This window comes from Homo sapiens, chromosome 4, assembly GCF_000001405.40.
Source record: "Homo sapiens chromosome 4, GRCh38.p14 Primary Assembly".
In the NCBI taxonomy this organism is placed as follows: Eukaryota; Metazoa; Chordata; class Mammalia; order Primates; family Hominidae; genus Homo; species Homo sapiens.
Window position 1 is genome coordinate 134,522,878 of NC_000004.12, and position 22,950 is coordinate 134,545,827.

The 22,950-nt window shown below is 34.0% G+C and overlaps 1 long non-coding RNA gene across 1 annotated transcript in view, besides 1 other annotated feature; it reads left to right on the plus strand.

Annotated features, from left to right (window-relative positions):
* Positions 1 to 22,627, plus strand: part of LINC02462 (long intergenic non-protein coding RNA 2462) — a 121,637-nt gene extending 99,010 nt beyond the window's left edge. The window contains exon 4 of the long non-coding RNA NR_147155.1: positions 22,409 to 22,627. This is a non-coding gene — a long non-coding RNA (long intergenic non-protein coding RNA 2462). The remainder of the gene's footprint in view (positions 1 to 22,408) is intronic.
* Positions 6,677 to 6,971: a silencer, noted in NCBI's record as "tiled region #8780; HepG2 Repressive non-DNase unmatched - State 24:Quies". NCBI's record gives its function as "represses a minimal TATA promoter and a strong SV40 promoter by Sharpr-MPRA in HepG2 cells {active_cell/tissue: HepG2}" and the evidence as "EXISTENCE:reporter gene assay evidence [ECO:0000049][PMID:27701403]".
* Positions 22,628 to 22,950: the final 323 nt, after the last annotated feature.

Consider the following 22,950-nt stretch of genomic DNA (forward strand, 5'->3'; position numbering starts at 1 on the left):
TGTGAAACACAATGTCAATAAAATAAAAAGACAAGCCACAGATTAGGAGAAAGTATTTGCAAAAAACATATTTGATAAAAGATTGCTAACCAAAATATATAAAAAGCTCTTAAAACTCAACATAAGAAAACGAGCAACCTCATTATAAAATGGGCCAAAGATCCTAACAGATACATCACCAAAGATATGCAGATGCTAAATAATGACAAATGTCATCCCATATGTCATCAGATAAATGTAAATTAAAATAATAATAAGTACACTCATACTAAAATGACCAAAATTCAGAACATTGACAAATTAAATGCTGGTGAGAATGTGGCATAGCAAGAAGTCTCATTCATTGCTGGTGGGAACGGAAAATTGCACAACTACTTTCAAAGACAGGCATTTTCTTATAAAGCTAAACTTACTCTTAATACATGCTCTAGCAGTCATCTTTCTTGATATTTATCCAAAGGAGATGAAAACTTACATCCACACAAAAAAATTGCACATGGGTGTTTATAGCAGCTTTATTTACAATTGCCAAAACTTTGAAGCAAAGATGTCCTTCAGTAGGTGAATGGAAACATAAACTGGGCTACATCCATTTAATGAGACATTATTTAGCTCTAAAAAGAAATAAGCTATCAAACCATTGAAAAGATATAAAAGAAACTCAAACGCATATTACTAAATGAAAGAAATCAGTCTGAAAGACAACATACTATGGATTCCAATTATACAACACTCTGAGAAAATGCAAAACTATGGAGATAGTAAAAAGATTAGTTTTCCAGGGAATGATGTGCTGAGGAGGGATAAATAAGTGGAGCACAGAGGATTTGTCAGGGAAGTAAAGTATTTTATAAAATAATATAATGGTGGCAAAATATCATTATACATTTGTAAACAACTCCAGAGATTATATAACACCAAGAGTAAAACATAATGTAACCAATGAACTTTGATTCATGATCTGTCATTATAGGCTCATCAGTTGTAACAAATGTACTCTGGTGAAGGATGTCTATAGTGGGAGAAGTTGTGCAACTGTGGGAACAGGAAGTGTAAGGAAAGTCTCTGTACCTTCCTCTTAATTTTGCTATTTTGCTGTTAACCTAAAACTGCTGTAAAAAATAAATTCTTAGAAGAAAATAGTTTTATACTAAATATATAGCTATATAGGTGTCTGTCTAAAACAATTTGAAAATAAATATTTTTCTAGTATTCAAAGATTGAAATATGTGCTTTATTATAGAAAATTGAGAAATTAATTAAAAATTATTCTACTTCTTTGTTTTTCCTAGAACTTTTTGTAGTTTCCATATATATTTTAAAACAATAAAATAGGCCAGGTGCAACAGTCATGCCTATAGTCCTAGCACTTTGGGAGGCAGAGAAAGGTGGATTGCATGAGCTCAGGAGTTCAAGACTAGTCTGGGCAACACGGCAAAACCCTGTCTCTACAAAAAAAAAAAAAAGTATATTAGCTGTGTGTGATAGCACGTGCCTGTAGTCCCAGCTACTTGGGGGGCTGAGGTGGGAGGATCACTTGAACCTGGGAAGTTGAGGCTGCAGTGAGCCAAGATCACACCACTGAACTCCAGCTTGGGTGACAAATTGAGATCCTGTCTCAAAAAGACTAAATAATAATAATAATAAAATAACATTTTTATAAGATATGTGAATATCCAAAAAATTTTTCCCCAAACTAGTTCAAGAAATATCTTATTATGTAGAGTTGCATAGGTAGGTGCTGAACATAATAATGAAATATACTCAAATAACATATATTAATTATTTCCTAATAATTTTATATTAGATGAGGTTTGAGCTTAAAGTTTGTTTTTCTTTTAATTTTTGGTAGCATCAAGAGTATCAGAATATTTGGATATAGAAACAACATTGAAAAAATTCAAAAAGTGGTAAATTATAGTTGAAATTTCCCTTTTGGTTCTGAAAGAATTAATGACTTAGTACTGTTAAAACAAAAGCTTTGGGAAAATTAAAGTTAACAGATAGTAATTGAGAGAAAAAAAAAGATTCACAAATTGGGCGGCTCTCAGAACTGGAACAGATTCAGAGAGACTCTGGAGATACTGCATGGTCAAAGAAGATTTATAAGCAGAGACAGGAAAGTGATATACAGAAAATTGAAGTGACGTACACAGACAGCCAGGTTGGTTGGAGCTGAGCATTTTTCTTATTTGAACACAATTTGAACAGTTGGTCACCTATGAGTGGCTGAACTATGGCTTGTGTGATTGGCTGTGACTCACCTATTCTTATAGAAGCATTTTCCTAAGTTAGGTTTTCAATTTGCTTACCTACTAGGTAAGGTTGCAGTTCATAAGCAAGAACTTAAGTATGCAAGTATGGATGTTTTCTCAGGCCTAATTTTAGTTTGACTTAACAATTCCCCTCTTTTGGTCAGCCTCTTAATTTTGAGAGATTCATCAAAACTTTAGACATTTACACTACTCTCTGTCACCATCTTAAATGACTTATTTGGTATCAGCATGGAGTTCAGAAGTCTGTGGTCTTAGTACAGAACTTAAAAGTCATGACTTCACACCACTTGAAGAATTCCTTATGTTTTTACTGACCTATTTGAAATGAGACAATTCAACACTTAACACTTAAAGCTCAACAGGATACTTACACCAGGGAAACTATGATTGACTATGATGGCTATCAAGAAGATATCAAATGACCAAAATATACTCCATAACAACAGTTCTTATGAAACAAACCAAATGAAATCAAAGAAGTCAACATTCAGGCAATATAGACAATTAAACATCATTTGAGCCTAATTGGTCATAGTCCTTGTTCAGGGTGTAATGGCAGTTAAGGACTATAGTTTAGTGTAAAATTACCTGACCTAAAGAGGTGTTCATTTTTGTAGTTAGCCTCATAACACAAATTATAAAAACCTGGAGAAATATAAAAATTAGGAAATCCTTGGAAAACCCAAGATTGCTATTCACCATTTAGGATACCTGAAAAATAAGTGGCAAGGTTCTCCTATAAACACATCATGTGTTCCTTTCTCTTGAGAGATTTCCTCAATGTCTTTGGGGGCAGTGTCTAAGAAAATAGCAGCATCAGCCATCTTTTCAATTAAGATTTTTGCAGTAAGAAAATTGTGGGAAATAAATGTACAGTATCCAGTTTTGTTCAATACAAAACACAAGCCCCCAACTTAAGCAAAAATGAGATCTAAAGTTGCATGATGGTCCATCAAGAGTTTTTGTTGAATGTGTATGTTATTATACACCTTTTGAAGAGACGCTTCTACTTGTCTGAAGACCTGGTAGGTCTGATTGGTTACAAAATCCAAGATTTTTCCCCAATTTACAGATTAACTTTAAACCCCATACAATCAGTATCCCATTACCACCAAGAGTGGGTCTCCAGAAACTCCACTAGAAACTTTCCTCAGTGGAAATAGCTTATCTATGTCTACTTCAAATTTGGTGTTAATTTTGGTTATTAACTGTTTTGGCCTTTGATCATAGATGCTATTACGAAAAATTTCAAGGAAAGCTATTTAAAAGCAGCAATAAGCAAGACCAAATAGAAATATCTGCACCAGCAAGGAGACAGAACAAAATAAGCACATTCTCTGTAAACCTAATATAGGCCTTTAGGGGTTAAAAAAAAGGTCCATCTAGTTGCATTTGAGCAGGGGTCAGTTAAATTTGTTCATCCATAAATTTTTATAGCTCTTGAAGAAGGTCCTTGGGAAATTTACTTTTTTGTGTCCCCCTTAAAGCAAGCTGTAAGAGTATATAACCACATTTGTTAAAAAAAAAAAGAATGAATTTAATACAGTGACATTGTACAAGAAATTTGTGCTCCCATAGGTCATCCCCAGGTCTTGAGTTTATGATGCCTAAAAACACATATGCCTTTTGTAGGATTCATTCAGAAAGGTTTTTCTATTTTGATGACAATTAGGCTGTTAATTGGAAAAGTTAGAGTATTCAAGTGAGTGACAGGAAGCAAGTAGCAGTGATATTTAGAATATAAAGTATAACATTCCACTCTTCCTTTGGAGATTCAGAGTGACTCTCATTGGGAATGTGAATAGGCCCTGATATCAATAAAATTGTTTTCTAATTTTCGGGCATTAGCCCAGACAACAATTACTATGGTTTATGCTAAGAAATAAACTTGAGCAAAAGCCATCCACTTAACATGGTCCCATGGAATGTACTTTAGTGTAAAAGAAAGCATTAGGACAGCAGGAAATGAGGACAAAAGGGGAAAAAAAAGGCATAGGCTTTTTTTTTTTTTTTTTTTGGTGGCAGAGAAGTCTTCATTTGTGATTTTGGGAAAGCTGACCACATCTAGGATACTGTATGCTTCTGGGGAGAAATTTCTCTGGTCAGCTTTACCTTAAAGTCTCCAATAGGTATAAAGTTCTAAGACTCTTTAAAGATTATTTTTAACTATGAGATATGAGCTCAAGGTTTGAAGCCCTGAAGCTTTACTGCAGTGTGAGTGGTGAGAAAAGTTTGGTATGGTCCCTTCCAACAGGGTCCAAGGGCAATCTTTCTCTCACATCATTTTCAGAAGACCCAATCTCCAGATTCTATATCATGAACAGTTTTCTTATCATCATTTGGTGGATCACAAAAAGCTTCCTTTACCTGGTAAAAGTATATTTTGGTACAACAATTTAGTGTCTTGTAGTATTTAGTCATATCAGTTTAGGAGAACAGGGGATGCATGAGTTTCTTTTATTAGGGTAATAGGTCTTCCCATGACTTTCTTGAATTCTTGAGTGTGTAAGGTCTTAAGTGCCAACTGATTGCCATTAAAACCAGCAGCAGAACCTTTGGCCAAGGCAACCCAATTGATTCAGTGAACTTTGCCAGTTTCAGTTTTAAGATGCCATTTTTTTTCCTTTCAACCCTTTCAGAAGACTGAAGGTTATAGGGACAATGGTAGCACCATTGCATCCATAACACCTTATTTAACTGCTGTATAATTTTACTAGTAAAATGAGTTTTCTTATCACTGAGCATTTCTCCAGGAATGACAAATGATGGAAATATATTTTCTAATCATTTCTTAACTACTGTCACAGCATTGACTTTCTTGCATGGGAAAGTGTCTACCTAACCAGAAAACATACAGACTATTACAAGAACACACTGATATCCCATTGAGCGTGGCAACTGAATGAAGTCCATCTGTAAATGTAATATCACACGAATGACAAATGGTCCATCAGGTGGCAGAAATACACCACTTAAAGTTTTTATTCTTTCCTAGGATTATGAGTTTGATAAACCATACATCGATTATGAACTCTTAGAAATTTTGGAACAGTCACCCCATTAGTAGTTTTTTATAATTTGCATTATTTTCTGTTTCATGATGAGTTTGGAGTACAAAGCTTTTGACAATGGAAGCTTAAAAAACTCAGGGAGGACCAGGACACCATTTGAGACTTTGAGTCCACACTTAATTTACACTCTTTTAGATAATGTTGCTTTTCTAAATCAGGTGCATTGTACTGTTTATTAAATAGGTCATCATAAGGGTGTTGACTTGAACAAATGTTATGGAGTTCATTTAGGTTGTATATCCTAACCATTTCTGCAGTAGCTGATTTAGCAGAAAAATCTACTAAAGCATTCCCTTAATAGCCAGGTTTAGTTCTACAGGTATGACAGTCAATCTTAATAATGCCAATCTGTGATGGTAACAGGATTGCACAGAGAAGTTCATCAGCTTGGAGTCCAATTTTGATGAGGGACGCACTGGAAATGAGAATTCTTTGTTTCCATAGCATGCCAGAGTTATGTACTCCTGCAAAATCATATCTACTATCAGTATAAAATATTTTATTTGTCCTTTGCTGCATAACAAGCTCAGGTGAGAGCAAAAAGGTCCATGGGTTGAGCTGACTTATATTGAGGAAGAGTTCCCTTTTCTATTAACTCATTTTAGGTGGTAAAAGCGTACCCTGCCTGACATTTTCCTTTTGAGATTTTAGCACAGGACCCATCAAGAAAATGTAGTGACTCAGGATTACCCAATAGAATATCTTGTAAGTCAACCTGAGGGGTCACTATTTCTGACATTACATTTACACAATTGTGGTTTTCACTATCATTAGGCAGAGGTAATAGAATAGTAGTTAAGTAGATTGCAGTATTTTAGATAGAGATTAGAAGAAGACAGGAGAAACATTTTGTAAGATCTTGCTGAAAAAATGCTGAGTTTCATTGGAATTTAATAGACTTTCCACAGCATGTGGGACTTGCAAATCAAGTTCATTTCCTAAAACCTGCTCAGATGAAGATTCTACCAACTTTGCTGCTGCTACTGCTTTTAAATTATTGGGATTATGCCTCAGCTACACGGTCTAGCTGAAGTCTAAAATATGTAATGGCCCTGTTTTTCTCCATATTCTTGCATAAGAACTCCTAATGCCTGATTGTTACATTCATAAATGAATAAAATAAAAGGTTTAGTATAATTTGCTAGTCTTAAAGCTAGGGGCTATTGTAAGACCAATTACGTTTGGTTAAAAACCTGCTCATGACTGTCTTCTTAAGGTAATGGCTCTGGTACAGCATTTCTAGTGGGTTCATACAATGATGAGGTCATTTAGGACAATTTTGGAACCTATGATCTGTAATATCCAGTAAGTCCAAGAGAACCTCTTGTTTTTTGGTTGCAGGCTGAGAAATGCTTTAAACAGTTTTTATTCTCTTAGGCGAAAGTGAAATACCTTCAGCAGTCAAGTCATGTCTCAATTAGTGGACCTTCTTCTTGAAAACTGAAGTTTTTCTATTGAAGCTTTGTGACCCTTATGTGTGAGTTGCTGTAAAAGGCAAATGGAGTCAATTTCTGAGTCTTCTTTAGTGGGGGAGCATAACAACAGGTGATCTACATACTGAATAAGAATAGAATTTCAAGAAAACAGTGGGGCTATTAAGTACTGATGCAATGCCTGAGAAAAATGCAAAGTGGCTTCAGTACACCCCTGTGGCACTACAGTCCAGGTGTGCTGCTGATTTTTCCAAGTAAAAGCAAACAAGCATTGACTCTGTTTATGAACTGGAATGCTAAGAAGACTTAGCAGAGGTTATTACCATGAACCACTTCGAATCAGTGGATCCATTAGGTAATAATATATTAGGATTTGGACTACAGGAAACTTTGGTATTACAATTTTATTAATTGTAATTGCCTGTCCATCTTAAAGGAATCTCCAACGTCGACCATTTGGTTTTTCAACTGGTAGGATTGAAGTGTTACAAGGATTGCTTCGTGGAATTTTAAGTCCTTATTTAATTAAATCTTCTACATTTGGTGACAGCCTTTGAATTGCTTTAGATTTCGTAAATATTAGGTTAACTTAGACAAATGTTTAGAATAATCTATTATGAATTGTATAGGTTCCACACTATTAATTATTTCTGTATCAGTTGAGGAAGAAGCCCATAAACATTCAGGTACTTTAGAAGGGTCAGGGGTATTACAGGCTGAGTTTTGGCGATGCCCATTTCTGCCTGTAGAGAGCATAACAGTTCCGGTTCAGGAAAATCAGAAAACTCTAAGATTATTTTTCCTTCTGAGGAGAATTTTATATGCCCTTTCAGGCTTGAAAGTCAGTCTTACACTAGCAAGTTTACTAGAGCAGTATAACATAATAAAAAGAGGTGTTTTCTTGGAAATGGCCCCAAAGTCAATTAGACTGGCTGAGATATAGGAAACTCTTGAATTTAATTCAAAACTCTCACCACAGAAATGACCTTTTTACTCTAAGGGATTTGTTGGTTTATTAAAGTGGAGTTCATGGTAAACAAAGTGGCTTGGTATCTAATATGATTGTGCAGGATACCTCATTTATTTTAATCTTTGTTTTGTTATGTTTAGTTAAGGATACTCTGTGGACCAATTTACTGACAAAACCCTCCAATCCTCATCAATGTTCACGACTATCATGAGAGCTTAAATATCTTGGGCTTCCTCTAGTGGTGACACCATCTGGCCTAAAGGGAGGCTTATTGGTGGACTTATATAAAAATGGACAATCTGTTTTTCTGTGTTGTGGTTGTTTGCAATAAAGGAAGACATCTCAGGGTAAAAAATTTCTTATTCTAGGACCTCTTGGTTGTGATTTAAAATAAGGATGAGAAGGTCCCTTTGGTCTTGGCCCCTTAACTCTTGTAATTGGAGAGACATAAGCTGGTTAGACTTTTGGGTTTTTGTTTTTTGTTTTTTGTTTTTACACTCTAGAGTCCTTTCAAATGTTCAGCTAAGGTCAGCAATTCAGTCATATCTGGAACTTCCCATCCAAGTTTATGTTTTTTTAATTGAACTGCTAAGTTCACGACAGAGTCATAAATAGAGCAGTTAATGCCATTTCAGTCCCTTCAGGAAATACTCCTTGCTATTCTTGGAGCCCAGAATGTTTTGAAGTGATTCTAAGCAAGTTTTATAATATAAAATTGGCTTATCTTTTGTTTTGTTTTGGTTTTGGTTTACATGACTGTATAATGGACCAATCAATTCTTTGTGGAAAAATTTTGGAATTGAATCTAAAAGGTTTTCAGCAATTTTTCTAGCTCATTTTGACACTTTTCATGAGGTTTTGGAGGAACCTTTAATAACCTCCTTGGGTTTGACCTATACCTCTGCTGCCATCCAGTTTCAAGCTTTCCCAAGCCCCTAAATCATGTGAGTAAATTGGTAAAGGTCATGGAGTCCAGGATCATAAGCTCTTATGAAGATTTTAAATCCTACCATAAGGTTTTGAGGCTTTCCTTTGGATCAGGGAAATACTTTACAATGGTTCTAAGCTCAGTTTAGATCATGGAGTAAAAGAGGCTGTGTCAGGAAGAACTGGCTGATCAGAAGGTCTTACTGTGTAAGGCATTTGTCTAATTTTTCTTTGTTCATAATCTTCAGAATGGAAGGATAATTTAGAAGAATGGTTAGTAGACTTGGAGTACATAGGTAGAGACAGAAAAAGAGAAGGAACAGTCAGTGCTCAGTCAGAGCTCAGTCAGAGTACTGTCCTCCATCATGTCTTTAGTCTGTTGCTTAAGCTTTTCATTTGCTTTTTGCAAAGAATCTTCTAAGGAGGCACTTTTTTATTCATTCAGTCTTTGAGATGCCTCTGCATATTAATTTAAGAATACATTCTATTGTTTTTGCTAGGGTTTTTATCTCCATTTTTTTTTTACATTTATCTCAAATAAACAATTTCATCTGAATTAACACATCACGATTTGTGGCCATCTTAATTCTACGTTGTCTCGAGTAAAGTTAACCCATTTTTCTAAACATGCACATGTTCTGGGCCTGTATATGTTTTTTGTTTGTCTGTTTGTTTGTTTCGAGAAGAGTCTTGCTCTGTCACCCAGGCTGGAGTGCAGTGGGGCGATCTCAGCTCACTTCAGCCTCCACCTCCTGGGTTCAAGCAGTTCTCCTGTTTCAGCCTCCCAAGTCGCTGAGACTACAGGCATGTGCCATCATGCCCAGCTAACTTCTGCACTTTTAGTAGGGACAGGGTTTCACCTTATTGATCAGGCTGGTCTCGAACTCCTGATCGCAGGTGATCCACCCACTTCAGCCTCCCAAAATGCTGGGATTACATGCGTGAGCCACCACTCCTGGACTGTTTTATATATTATTAGCTAGAGTCCCAGAAGTTGGCATCCCACTTTCTCAATGGATTAAGACAAACCCATTATCAAAATGGTACCATATCAGACAGGGTGGTACATGACTGGAGTCCCAGCTTCTTGGGAGGCTTGAGACAAGAGAGTTTCTGGACCCCAGGAGTTTGAGGCAGTAGTACAATATAATTACACTTATGACTAGTCATTGCACTTCAGTCTGGGCAACAGAGCAAGATCCCATACCCAAAAAAGAGTATTTATCCAAGGTCTGAGCCCTCTAACTTAATTCAATGAAGTTCATTACAGCATCCAGTGTGATCCTGGACCTAGTCTAGTATAAATATTGCTAAAATAAACTCAGAGAGCTGAGAACAGAAGAGTAAAGCTCTGAATCTGAGAGAAAATTCACCCAAGACCTCCAGTTACAAGCAAGAGAGGCATAAGCACACTGTCGCCATGGGTATCTTGCCTGGCTGCCTGGTGATCTGGGGATCACTGGAGTTTTACTTCTGATCCTTACTTCAGACACCAGATCTGTTAAAGTAAAACTTTAGACAGATGAAACTCAACAGAGTTTGAGAAAAAAAGATGAACAAATCAGGCAGCCCTCAGACTCAGAACAGATTTAGAGAGACTCTAGGGGTGCTGCATGGACAGACATTTATGAACCGAAAAAAGAAAGTGATGTACAAAAAGTGGAAGTGAGGTGCAGAGACAGCTGGATATGTTACAGCTAAGCATTTCCTTATTCGAACATGGTTTGAACAGCTGGTTGCCTTTGAGTGGTTGAAGTGTGGCTGCTGTGATTGGCTGAGGCTCAACTATTGCTGCAAAAGCATACTCCTAAGTTAGAATTTTTGTTTGTTAACCTGCTAAGTAAGATTGTAGTTCATAAGTAAGAACTCGAGTATGAGAGTACAAAGTCTTTCTCAGGCCAGATTATAGTATGATTTAACATTACTAATGAAAAAACTACAAATCCACACAGAACCTATATAATGTCTTTCTGACCAATTTTTAATATATAGAAGAAGGAATGATATTAAGATGTGCAGAAAAGTTATGGAAGTGTTTGGAAAATGCTTAAAAAATTGGGGCTGTCATTCTTACATTAAATTCTAGAAGATAATTAATTGTTTTGTTTGTTTTACTATTTACAAATCTAGGAAATAATAGCTAAATTATTTCTTGCTACTTTTTTCTAAAATGTACTCACGTTTAGCCTGTAGAGATAAGGAGTGGATTATAATAATAGAATGTAATTGTAACCTTATGTCATTTGTACTTTAACAACAGCTTTCGATTTTTATTTTTTCCAGGAAAAGTTGCTCTTTGAGGAGATTTGAAAGGACTTTTTAAAAATTCTATTAAAATAATATTGAAAATGGAACTTTTAACAAGACAAAATAAAACTTCATTAACAAATGAAATCTTAGATTGAGCACATACAGCTGGATAGCTTAGCAGCTTCCAAATAATAAATCATGTCAAAATATAAAAAACATTTCATTTTACAAAATGAAAGATTATATGTTAGATTTCATGCTTCATATATATGGACTGAATTTCTATATTCAATCATCTCAAATAAATTGTGCTTTTAGAACATATCTTAAAGCAGATAAGCTAAAATGGGGGTTATTTTTACTCTCAAAAAATAGCACAAAGCTTACAGTATTTTAGAAATCTTTTGGTTAATTTTCTTAAAAATTAAATAAAATATAATGACTAGATACCGAAAAGCTCTCCAGAGGTGGATATACCCATTTGCTAAAGATTTCCTTGAAAGTGATTAATGCTTAGACAAAAAACACGACAGAATTTTTCAAAGTCATAAAAGTTTTGATCATTGAGTATCCCAGTGATAGTAATTATCACCAGACACAAAGGCATGCAGAAGTGCAACCATTTATGAAAGTTTTTATTAATATTTATATTCATAAATTGAGGTGATTTAGAAGTATCCTGAAGTTTTTGAAAGTATACAAGATAGTTATTTATTTGTGTATTTGTTTTTATTTTATGTATATAAATTTTCTTCACCATTATGCAATAAATCCATGTAACAAAATTATGCAAGCATCATATAATTTCCACTTTTTTTACTTTCCCACACTTCCACCTTTTTCATTTAATAGTGTGGTTATTTTCAAGCATTTAAGATATTGATATTATTGAAGAAGTTTGGAATATAATGCTCTCAGTAAAAAAATCTGTTCAAATAAACAGCAAGAGTCAGGTTTTTCATTCCAAGGTAGGGAAAAAAAATAAGTTACAGTTAAAGGCATATGTTGTAGAATAATTTCCATTAGTTTCTAGAAGAGGGAAGATGTAGAATAAAAATACACAGCTGTTACATTTATTTAAGATGATTACTATGCCTTTTTCTTTTTTTTTTTTTTCTTTGAGACAGGGGTCTCCTTCAGTTGTTCAGGCGGAGCAGTTCATTTAAACCTCCGCCTACAGGGCCCAAACCATCCTCCCACCTCAGCCTCCTGAGTAGCTGGGACCACAGGCATGCACCACCATGCCTGGTTAATTTTTGTATTTTTTGTAGAGATGGACGTTTCTCCATGTTTCCTAGGCTGGTCTTGAACTTGTGAGCTCAAGCTATCCTCTGGCCTTGGCCTCCCAAATTCTGATCAGGTCGTGGCCACTAGTTTTGTTTATCAGTGATCACCTCATTACTAAACCCAACAAGCATTTCTCAATTTCCATCTTGCTTAACATCTCAACACTCTATTTCTTAGAGATACTTCTTTCTCCTATTACATAACCATGAAGACCACCATGATGGATTTCAGGTGTGAGCCTGATCTATACCTTTTTTAAAAAGACTCAGAGATGAAAAAAAAAAAATTAGGAAATATAAAACTAAATAATTAAAAAGTAAACTCAAACAATGAAATTATTTGTCTGAAGGAAGCGGAACATATGCTTTTAAGGCATTTGAATGCAATAAAAAGCAAAACAACACAAAACAAAGAAAATCTTGTGCTAGAAACATGCTTAAGATTCTCTGAAAACTAAGAGAAAAGAAAATATGATCTTCAAATTAATTTAAAAATAATATCCTGCAAATACTTGCAGAGATAATTTTTTTCTTAACATAACATCAGTGAGGAATATATCACCTAACCTTACATAAAAGACCTTGACAACTATTGTTAACAAAGTATCTTAGAAATGATGGTTAGTGAAAATGTACTGTACCATTTAATTCTAACCCAGCAACTATGAAAACATTGAGGCAAGTTTGGCCTTTTTAATCATGAAAAAATTTTGCACTCTATTACAGACTGTGATCTGAGTTAATTGTGTGACCCTGAAGCCAATATTTGCCCTTTCTGAGACTTTTTGTTTCTTCCTGTTTAAAAAGAATTGTGGAAATCAGGATTAGCGTAAAGAAATAGTTAACTAAATTATCCTCTAGATCATAACCCTCCCATAGTTTTTCTACACAGATGCAAAATATGAATTAATCTCACATACTATATACCACTGTACTTTCAAAGAGTCTTCAAATAGTTATGCCCAGTTGACAAGGAAACTGCTGCTTTGACTCCACCACTCAAAAATAAGATGTCAGTAGCAGTAACTGTAAGTCCCGTTCCAGCTATTCAAACTAAAAAGGAGTTCATGGAACTGAACATGGTTGCTCAGGCCTATAGTCCCAGCTGCTCAGGAGGCTGAGATGAGAGAATCACTTGAAGCCAGGAGTTTGACACCACCCTGGACAACACAGTGAGACCTCCATCTCTAAAAAATATGAAAAATTAGCTGAGCATGTAGTCCTAACTACTCAAAAGGCTGAGGCAGGAGAATTGCTTGAGCCGGAGAGTTTGAAGCTGCAGTGAGCTATGATCACACAACTGCACTCCAGGTTGGACAACAGAGTGATATTCCATCTCAAAAAAAAAAAAAAGTCATTTCTTTGTTTTCTCTTGTTCTTCCGTTTCTGATCAGGTCATGGCTGCTAGTTTTGTTTATCAGTGATCACCACATTACTAAACCCAACGGGCATTTCTCAATTCTCATCTTAACTTAATATCTCAACACTCCATTTCTTAAAGCTACTTCTTTCTCCTTCCATTACATAACCATGAAGATCACCATGATGGATTCTTGGAATTCTTACACGCAAAATATTTTTAAATAATGTTTAGAAATATTTATGCAGGATACCGGGGTAATTCTTCTTCTCAGTTTGCCACAAACAATACGTTGACTCAGCCTTGTATCTTTGAAGTCTGATTTTCCAGCCTGTGAGAGTAGTTTTTTCTTCACACAAAACTCATGTCTGCTGTTTACATGTCTGTACTACATCAATTAGGAAGAGAAATATAACAGCTAAGGAAAAACTTCACTCAAACCCCCTTAATCTTTAGTTTTTCCTTTCTCAGAATATGAGATTTATTAGAAATTACTTTTAACTAGAATGCTGGGTTTTAATCTAAATAGAGAAAGATATTCGCCAAGACGATTAAGCATCTACATCCAGCAATCACCTTATTCTTTCCTGTTCTATTAGCTATCCTCTTCTGGGAACACTATATATACAATGAGGTTTCTCTCTGACGGAGGCAATCAATCAATCAATCAATCAATAAAACATAAATAACAGTTATACTAAAAAATACACGTTACCGTTTGATTTAACAAATAGCATAGAATTTGTGTTGACAGCTTAGTGTCAATCTTTCTTGAACTTTTTATTAGCTCCGCTACTTTGCCAGTTCTCTTAAATTGCCAGAGGAGCAATTTAATTACGTGTAGAATAAGGATAAGAATACCCAGCCTGGGCGGGGTGCAGTGGCTCACACCTGTAATCCCAGCACTTTGGGAGGCTGAGGCCAGGAGTTGAAGACCAGCCTGGCCAACATAGTGAAACCCCATCTCTGCCAAAAATACAAAAAAATAGCCAGGCGTGGTGGTGCGCACCTGTCATTCCAGCTACTCAGGAGGCTGAGGGAGGAGAATTGCTTGAACTGGGGTGGTGGAGGTTGCAGTGAGCTGAGATCGTGCCATTGCATTCCATTCTGGGTGACAAGAGTGAAACTCCCTCAAAAAAAACTGGAATACCCAGCCTGAACATCTCAAAAGATTATTCGGAGGATTGCCTGTAACAATGTATGGAAAGCACTATACAACCCAAAAATAATATAGAATTATAACTTTTTTTTTTCAAAAGAGAAAGGAATTAGTTTTCTAGGGCTGCTATAGCAAAATCATGTACCACAGACTGAGTTAGCTTTAATGACAGAAATTGATTATGTCACAGTCCTGGACAATAGAAGTTCCAGTAGAGCATGGCAGAGTTAATTCTTTCTGAGGACTGTAATGGATAATCTGTTCTATGCCTGTCTCCAAGTTTCTGGTGGTTTGTTGGCAATCTTTGGCATTCCTTGGCTTGTTAAGCACATTTCTGCCTTGGTGTTCATATGGCCTTCTCCCTGTGTAGGTGTCTGTGTCCAAATTTCCCCTTTTTATAAGGAATCAGTCATACTGAATTAGGAGTCTACCCTACTCCAGTATGACCTAATCTGAACATTCTAAATTACTGGGATTAGTAATTCAATCTATAAATTTTGGAGAGGCATAATCTAGCCCAGAATGCTACATTATAAAAAAAGTGATCTTGGGGAGACAGAGAGAGACTCTGTCTAAAAAAAAAAAAGAAAAAGGTCTTACAGCTCACACTTAGTCCTTTAGTCAGTAAATACTTCCTGGCTCTTATTCGCTGGCAATCACAGAGAGATTTTTCTAACTACACTCTTTAGAATATTTTTATTCATAGAAAAAAGAAGAAAATGACTCTCTTAATTCCTCATTTGTTGATTACTGCTTATTTAGGCCATTAAACACCTTCAACTATTTTTTTATTTGAAAAATCATTTCAGTTAAAAAGCTCTCTGTAAATCTATTCATGCAATAAATTTTGAGAGCTATTCCGTCTATGAAAGACTATTACCATGCCTTCTAAAATAAAATTAAAGACAGAGTACAAGCAATTATAAGGGTTTTAATGTTTAAATTCTAAGGAAATGAGGAATAATTAAGGTTTTCAACATTTTACAAAAGGACAGAGAGAAATAAGAAGCATTACTTCTAATTGAAGGTATTTACAGCTAGATCTCCAATACGTTCATTCAACAAAACAATTGCTATAGCTGTATCTTTTTAATTGAATGTCACAAAAAGCCAATAATAAATATTTAGAAAATGCAACCTATTTTAAGCTAGAGTTCAGTCAGTATGCTATGGAATAAACTTTTTTTTTTTCTTAGAGATGCATGTGTTACCATATGAGATCCTAATATCAAATGGATAATTATTTTTAGATTCATTAAACTCCCCAAATATATCTATCAAGTTCAACTTAGATTAGGGAACAGGACTTGTGTGCTATTTAAGCCTCCCAGCAGGGTTTGATTATTCAACACATGTTCTCATAAAATTGAGCACATACTGATATAAAGGTAGTAATAGAGCAAGTAGGTATTACATAGCACAACTCCTCAAGGTAAACAAGGATGGGTAATTTAATTTCCAAGGTGACAAATTATGTTATCATGAGAGAGCAGGCAATTTCTTCCCCAAAATAAACTAAGTAGGCCAGGACAGCTTTAACTAGATGAAATCATTATCCTTTTAAAATACACAAGTGTTGAATAAAGTTAGTTTTCTCTGCTTTAGTGTCTTGGTAGAAAATGGCATAAGAAAACAGTGCTGCCTTAAGGTAATGTTCACCTGTTTAAATTCTTCAGTAAGGGAATAAAAACAGTATTACTTTAAAAAAAAATACAGGTGTGTATACACACATATATTCTCTCTCCTATATTTTTAATAAATTAGAGTGCAATAATAGATTATTTAAAATAAACATTTCTTTATTCCCTTACCTTTCTAAAGGGAAAGCATGTAAAAATATTTATTTATATCTTGGATTTTTATAGCAATTATTAAAATTATTTAAGAGGCTACAGCTTTAATTATCTTCTGACCACCTTCTACAGCACCATGTGTCAGACAGGTTCTAGGCATATTGAGAACATTTCTCTTCTTGTGTTCGTAATGGTACCAACCAAGATATTCCTGATAATGACCTCTCAGGCCTTCCTTAGTATTTTTCTATTTGAATTTATGTTTAAAATTATGGCTAATCCTTAGTAACCCCCATAGCGTTGAATAATCTCTAAAATAGTTTGCATTCTCAATTCCTTAAATTTTGTTAACCTCTTTCATGCTAGTTAAAAGACCTATATGTATCTTGAGTTTCATGGACTATGAAATATAAGAATTTGAAGACTTTAAACTTTATTAAAAGCTAATAAAAATTACTAAGGAAGGGTTGAGAGAGGCAACTGACATGGACCTTGAGCATTTCTTCATGTTTTTGCTGACATACGAAGAATTTGAGACCCTGACCACTCTTTACCCATGGTTGTTTTTGCAAAAACTAAACTTGAGAGATGAGGTAAGCTTACATTATCTGTCACCCTCAGACTAGACAAAGACCAGGCTTGCTTCTGCTTACTGTAAAAGCAAGCTCATATTTCTCCTGTAATAAAATCTACTGCATGGGCATGCATCCTTGATGGACCTTTTGGATCACCTCTTTGGTACTTGGAAAACATGGGGAACCTAACACATATCATTAGGAAGTTCCAGCTACTGTTTTTGCTGTAATTTATAAAGTCCTTTATCTCTAATCCAGGAGTCTTATATTGTCTCCTAATATCCATGAAACTATAGCAAACTAGCTTATTACCTCGTAAGTAGAATAAATTCTCAGATGCTGCTCAGTTCTTAACAGATAGAAATTAGGTTACTTTCTATTTGTTTCTGCATTTGATCGCACATAAGTTCGTCATGTATTTGTAATTCTTGAGGAACTTTTTTTTCTAACTTACTTCCAAGTAATTTTGAAGAGGTGTAGAGACATGAAACAACACTAGCTTCTTGCATACTAGCTTCTTGCAATACTACAAAATAAGTCCATGTACTCTTAGTACTCAACTTGTATTTACTACTGACAATTGGAGGAAAATACAATTATGTGTCCTTAGAGGAAGAGAAAGACAGATTTTTAATCCTCTGTCAAAAGAAACTTGGAATGTTTAAAATGGCCATCATAATGGAAAATATTAAATTCAATAAGTAGTTTGGCTGAGTTACAAATATGGAAATAAGTAAATGGAGCACAATAAAACAAAAATGTTTTGTGGGTATAATGGCTTATAAAATAAATTCAAAAAGCAAATGACATTTTATTCACTTATAAATTCATATAAAGATCCTCACAATTGTTAGCCATTGCGTATTAGAACTGCAGTATTCAATTAAGGAGCCTGGCACAAATCTGAGAACTCTTATAAATATGCTTTATATTTGGACGCTATGGTCTCCTAGTCAAAATGAATCATTTCTTTCAAATTTTGGCCTTTACCCAACTCTACAGGGATTCCTTCAAGGGTGAGTTTAATTCATCTGGGATGTTTTTACTTCAACACTCATTTTACCTAAACCTACTAAATGTTGTATATGAGGAAAGGGCAAGATATATAAAATATATTCATCTCAGAGTCCGTTTAGTTGAAATTTCTCAGGAGAAAAACAAAGCAGAAAAACATCTAGTAATACTGGTCAGGATTTGGTATTTATGTATACGTGAATTGTATATATGTACTTTCCTATACAGGTATACACAAATCTGCAGTTAGATATTACAGCAGATAGATGGCTGCATTTTAAATGGATTTGATCTGTAAACACATATACTAGTTAATAAATAGACTTTACCTGATAAAAATCGTCATTACTCTTTTTAATCAATACATGTTACTAGCTAACATTATCAGGAAACTTCATATCTATAGAGTCTAGGTCTTCCCTCCAGTTTCCCAAATGTCTTTGGCAGAATAATAACTAGAATATTGCAGAAACCAGTTTTATTGAAGTTATGCCATAAGAAATTTATCTTCTCCAGCAGTGAATTAAATGCCATTTTTATATGGAAAACATCTTCAAAATAATTTTGAATAAAGTATTGGAAATACAACAAAATGATGATATAGCTTTGCTAATCAGATTCCTTTTCACTTTTAAAAGTGTTTAACACATCTTTTGATATAATTTGGTAGAAGGAAATCTAATTTGCGCTTAAAATTCAGAGATATGTCATGATAGCAAAGAAAAGATTGAGCATTTTGTTGACAGATTTTCCACATTGGGCTTAAGGTAAAGGGTCTTGGAAGGGCTATCTTTGCCTCCACAAACATCCTCTACTATATGATACTTGGCTAACAAACAAGTTTATAGGATATTATGACAAATGTTTATTATGTCGTAATTTGTGCTATGATCTAGGATATGTCATTCAACATCCAGAAGAAAGTAAAATTACGTTATGAAAAAAAGATCCTGCACTTGCCAGAGACCAAGAAAACATGAGTTTCAATTCCAATTCAACCTAATTCACTGTATGACTTTGGGAAATACACTTCATTTTCAGATCTTTTAAAATACATATAAAATGAACGTGAGATAATTTCTAACACTCTTGCCAACTCTGATGCTTATTGATTTAATTAGAAGACATTGTGAATATATGTGAGACATTGGGAATATAAAGATGAGCTAGACATAAATTTGTAACACTCTATAATTAGTTTGAACATTCTTTATAAAAAATATAAGCAAGTATGAGATAAGGTTATATTTAGAATGAGACTTCAGGAATTCTTGAGCCTTGAGCATTCTCCAGGTAGAAGGAAAATCTAATAAAAAGCTGCATTCCATAGTGCTGTTATCAAAATTAAGACTTTTCTATGCATTATTTAATAAGACAATCAGGTTATTTCAATAGCTGTTTCATTATATTGCTGTTAATAAGATTTAAGTTCAGTCGTTAAACACTTGTATCCTTTTCCTTATCATACTGCTGTATCTCTCTTTATTGTTGCTATTATGTTGGATTTTCAGTTCATTTTTTTCTCTAACTAGAAAAGAATAGTAAACAAGTTTGTATAAAACAATTTATTCCATAGTGTTTCAACACAAAACTCTTTGATCGACAATTTCCTATGTTAAGTTCATGTCCTGGTGTTGATAGGTAAGAAAAATGTGTTATCAAGGGATCATGAGAAGATATGAAACACTGCAAAATTACATTGCTACCTACTATTTTGGGCCAAATCAAGTTCAACAATATCCTAAGTTAGGGCTACATTACTTTGTGCTTTCAGAACTCTGTTACTTGCCTCAAGGTATATTGACTTTGAAGAGCAGGAAGCTGAATAAAGAGTTATTTCTTTTAGTAGTTTGCTTATCTCACAACCCTGTGTGTGTTTGTTATATATATGACAAATTGTTGTTTTGATAATGTTTTGCATAAAGGTGGACAGTAATAGTTTTGTAAAGAAAATATTAGGCTATACTTTTTTTTTAGTTTGCTAAGCAGGAATCTATGACATTGATTGATGTATCATTTTGAAATCTGCAATGGTCTTTAAGGTTTTAGCCTATGAATATGTATGAAAAATCAGTTTTAGTAACTGTGCTGTTAAGGATGGCTTGGAACTATAACTCAATAGCAATTTCCTTAAAAGAAAAAGGAACTTAAATTACAATAGAATAAGTGTTGATGAATGTCTTCTTGAAAAATAGCCTTCTGTATTCAGACTAATTTTCGAATGATGACAAGAAGGAGCGACTAAAGGGGAGCATACTTAGAGATATGTCAACTCCTAGTTGAATTACCAAAGAAGACTTACTGTAACATTTTGTCCACATGTGTCACATTCTCTGAAGAGTTTTAAATATCATAATCAACACAGTACTATTACATTTTTGCTAAAGGAATATAGTAGCCTATTTCTCCTAAGTATATGTATGTGTGTACATACACACTCATGTTTACTTGCATATATATGTTTAAATATGTGTATGCATTCATATATTATAGGTAAACATATGTATGTACATATATAGTGATTGGCCAACAGATTAAGTATTAACATTTTTTAAGTTAGATTTAAAATGAGGTATTTTTTGAGTTTTTAATCCTTTTCTTGCTGACTACCGTAGGAAAAACAATTAAATATATTCTCTTGCCGAATCAAGTTTGTTTTTTTTTTTTACACTTATATGCCTTGCTTTCAAAAGTAATTAAATAAAATGGAGTTCAACTTAGAGAATACACATGCAGGCATCTTCAAATCAGTTGTCTGAATGTGATTATTTTCATCGTTAAAATGAATTAAAAAAATTAAAAATTGGCTATTTGCTTCCATAATGTATTCTTAATGTTGTTGTTGTTTTGTTGATTTTTATTTTGCTTTGGACTAATTAAAAGTCATCTGACACAGACAAAAACACACCTAAACACATAAGCTTCTAGGTGGTAATCTCTGAGATAATGCTTAGTTAAAATTCTTGTCTAAAACCTTTATTTACTAATGCACTATAGAAAGAAAAGAATATCAATTATGTTCATAGAATAACTGATCTTTTTATAGCTTTCTATTTAATATGGTAATAATCTTATTTACTGGAATTAATTCACATAAATTGCAATATATGATAATATAGCAGTAGAATAACTTCTTGTTCACATGCTCAAATAATGATAGAATGAGACAAAAAGGAGTGACCCATCCAAATATAGGAAATCTAGTCTTCTTCTAAGGCATACGAATGATTAAACAGAAAATACTGAAAGAAAGAAAACATATGAACATATATCAGGTTACTCAAGGTGAGGAACACTATTACACAGCCACTGAGTGATACTAGCAGTATTTTTTACCATGACTAGGCTAGCTATACTACATCTATTATTTAGGAAACAACATAAAATGTTAGAGCTACATAATGGAAAACTGTAAATGAGTCAACCTGCTCGACACTCAGACTTTCAGGCACCAGGTTAATGTCACAGAAGCAAACTGGTCAGCATCCAGGGCAAGGAGCCAGATGTAGTAACTGAACTCCATTCTCTGAAAGACAATAGCTCAGAGAGAAAATGGAGAAGTTTCAAGAGGCCAGGAGAATGTGATTTATGGTGGAGTTACAATGTGGCAGTTGAGAACTAGACAAGACTGTGGGACTTCATTTTTTCACCATTTGCAGCAGCTGATGGCAATAAAAATTGCAGAATGCATCATCTGCAAGGTATTTAAAAATACAGTTTCTCTGTAAAAGCAATTCTAATTAGTTACACAATACTGCTATTACGTTTCTTAGGATATGTATCACTTGTATCACATTTTTGCCTCCTAAACTCATATAACCTTTCTTTGGCTTAAATATATTAGTATATGTTGTAATGTACTTACATTTAAAACAAGATTAAATGATTAATTTATGGTTATGTTACAGTCAATCTAATGAGAAATTACAACTGCATTTTCTTATATTTATGACTGAGTTATTCATTTAAAAAAGTTATTGTTGAGTCTTCATAATTATATATCAAGACTATGATCACACTATGATATAACTTTTATTTAATAAGGGATAAAAATGTTAGCTTTATACCATAAAAATTCTTTTAAATATACAAATTAGGGACGGATTTTTAAATTCAAAAGTAATGAAAGTAATTCAGATTATTAAATGATTGTCCTCAGATTATACATTACCTTTTTCTGATGTACTTAAATAAAATTCAACTTATGTACATCTGGAAAAATTGTAAACCTAAGCAGACATATATTCTTTCTTTAGGTGTTTTATTTATTTCCTTCCAATTTCTATTCCCACAGTGTTTTATAGAGCTGAGATGCTCAAGAGTTAGCCACCAGCCACAAGTGACTATTGAATACTTGGGATGGGGCTAGTGTAACAAAGGTAATAAATTTTTAATTCTAATTTATTTTAATTAAAAAACTGAAGTGTTATATACTTTTCTGTTAAATATAAGTTTATTATTTTGGTGGGATTACAGTTCACTTCCACTGTTGACAATGTTCTATCTTACTTGAGATGTATTATAATGTACACAGCTGATTTTGAAGACTTAAGAAAAATGGATTTAATATATCTCACTAATAATTTTTATGTTGATTACAAGTGGAAATAAAAATATTTTGGATATGTTGCAGTAAATAAAATGTTATTAAAATTAATTTCACCTGTTACTTTATAATGTTTTCATTTTTATTGGTAAAACAATAATCCCTAACACTAACTGGTTGAAATGATTTTGTTTTAAAAAAAAGACACATTGGCCGGGCGCGGTGGCTCACGCCTGTAATCCCAGCACTTTGGGAGGCCGAGGCGGGCGGATCACGAGGTCAGGAGATCG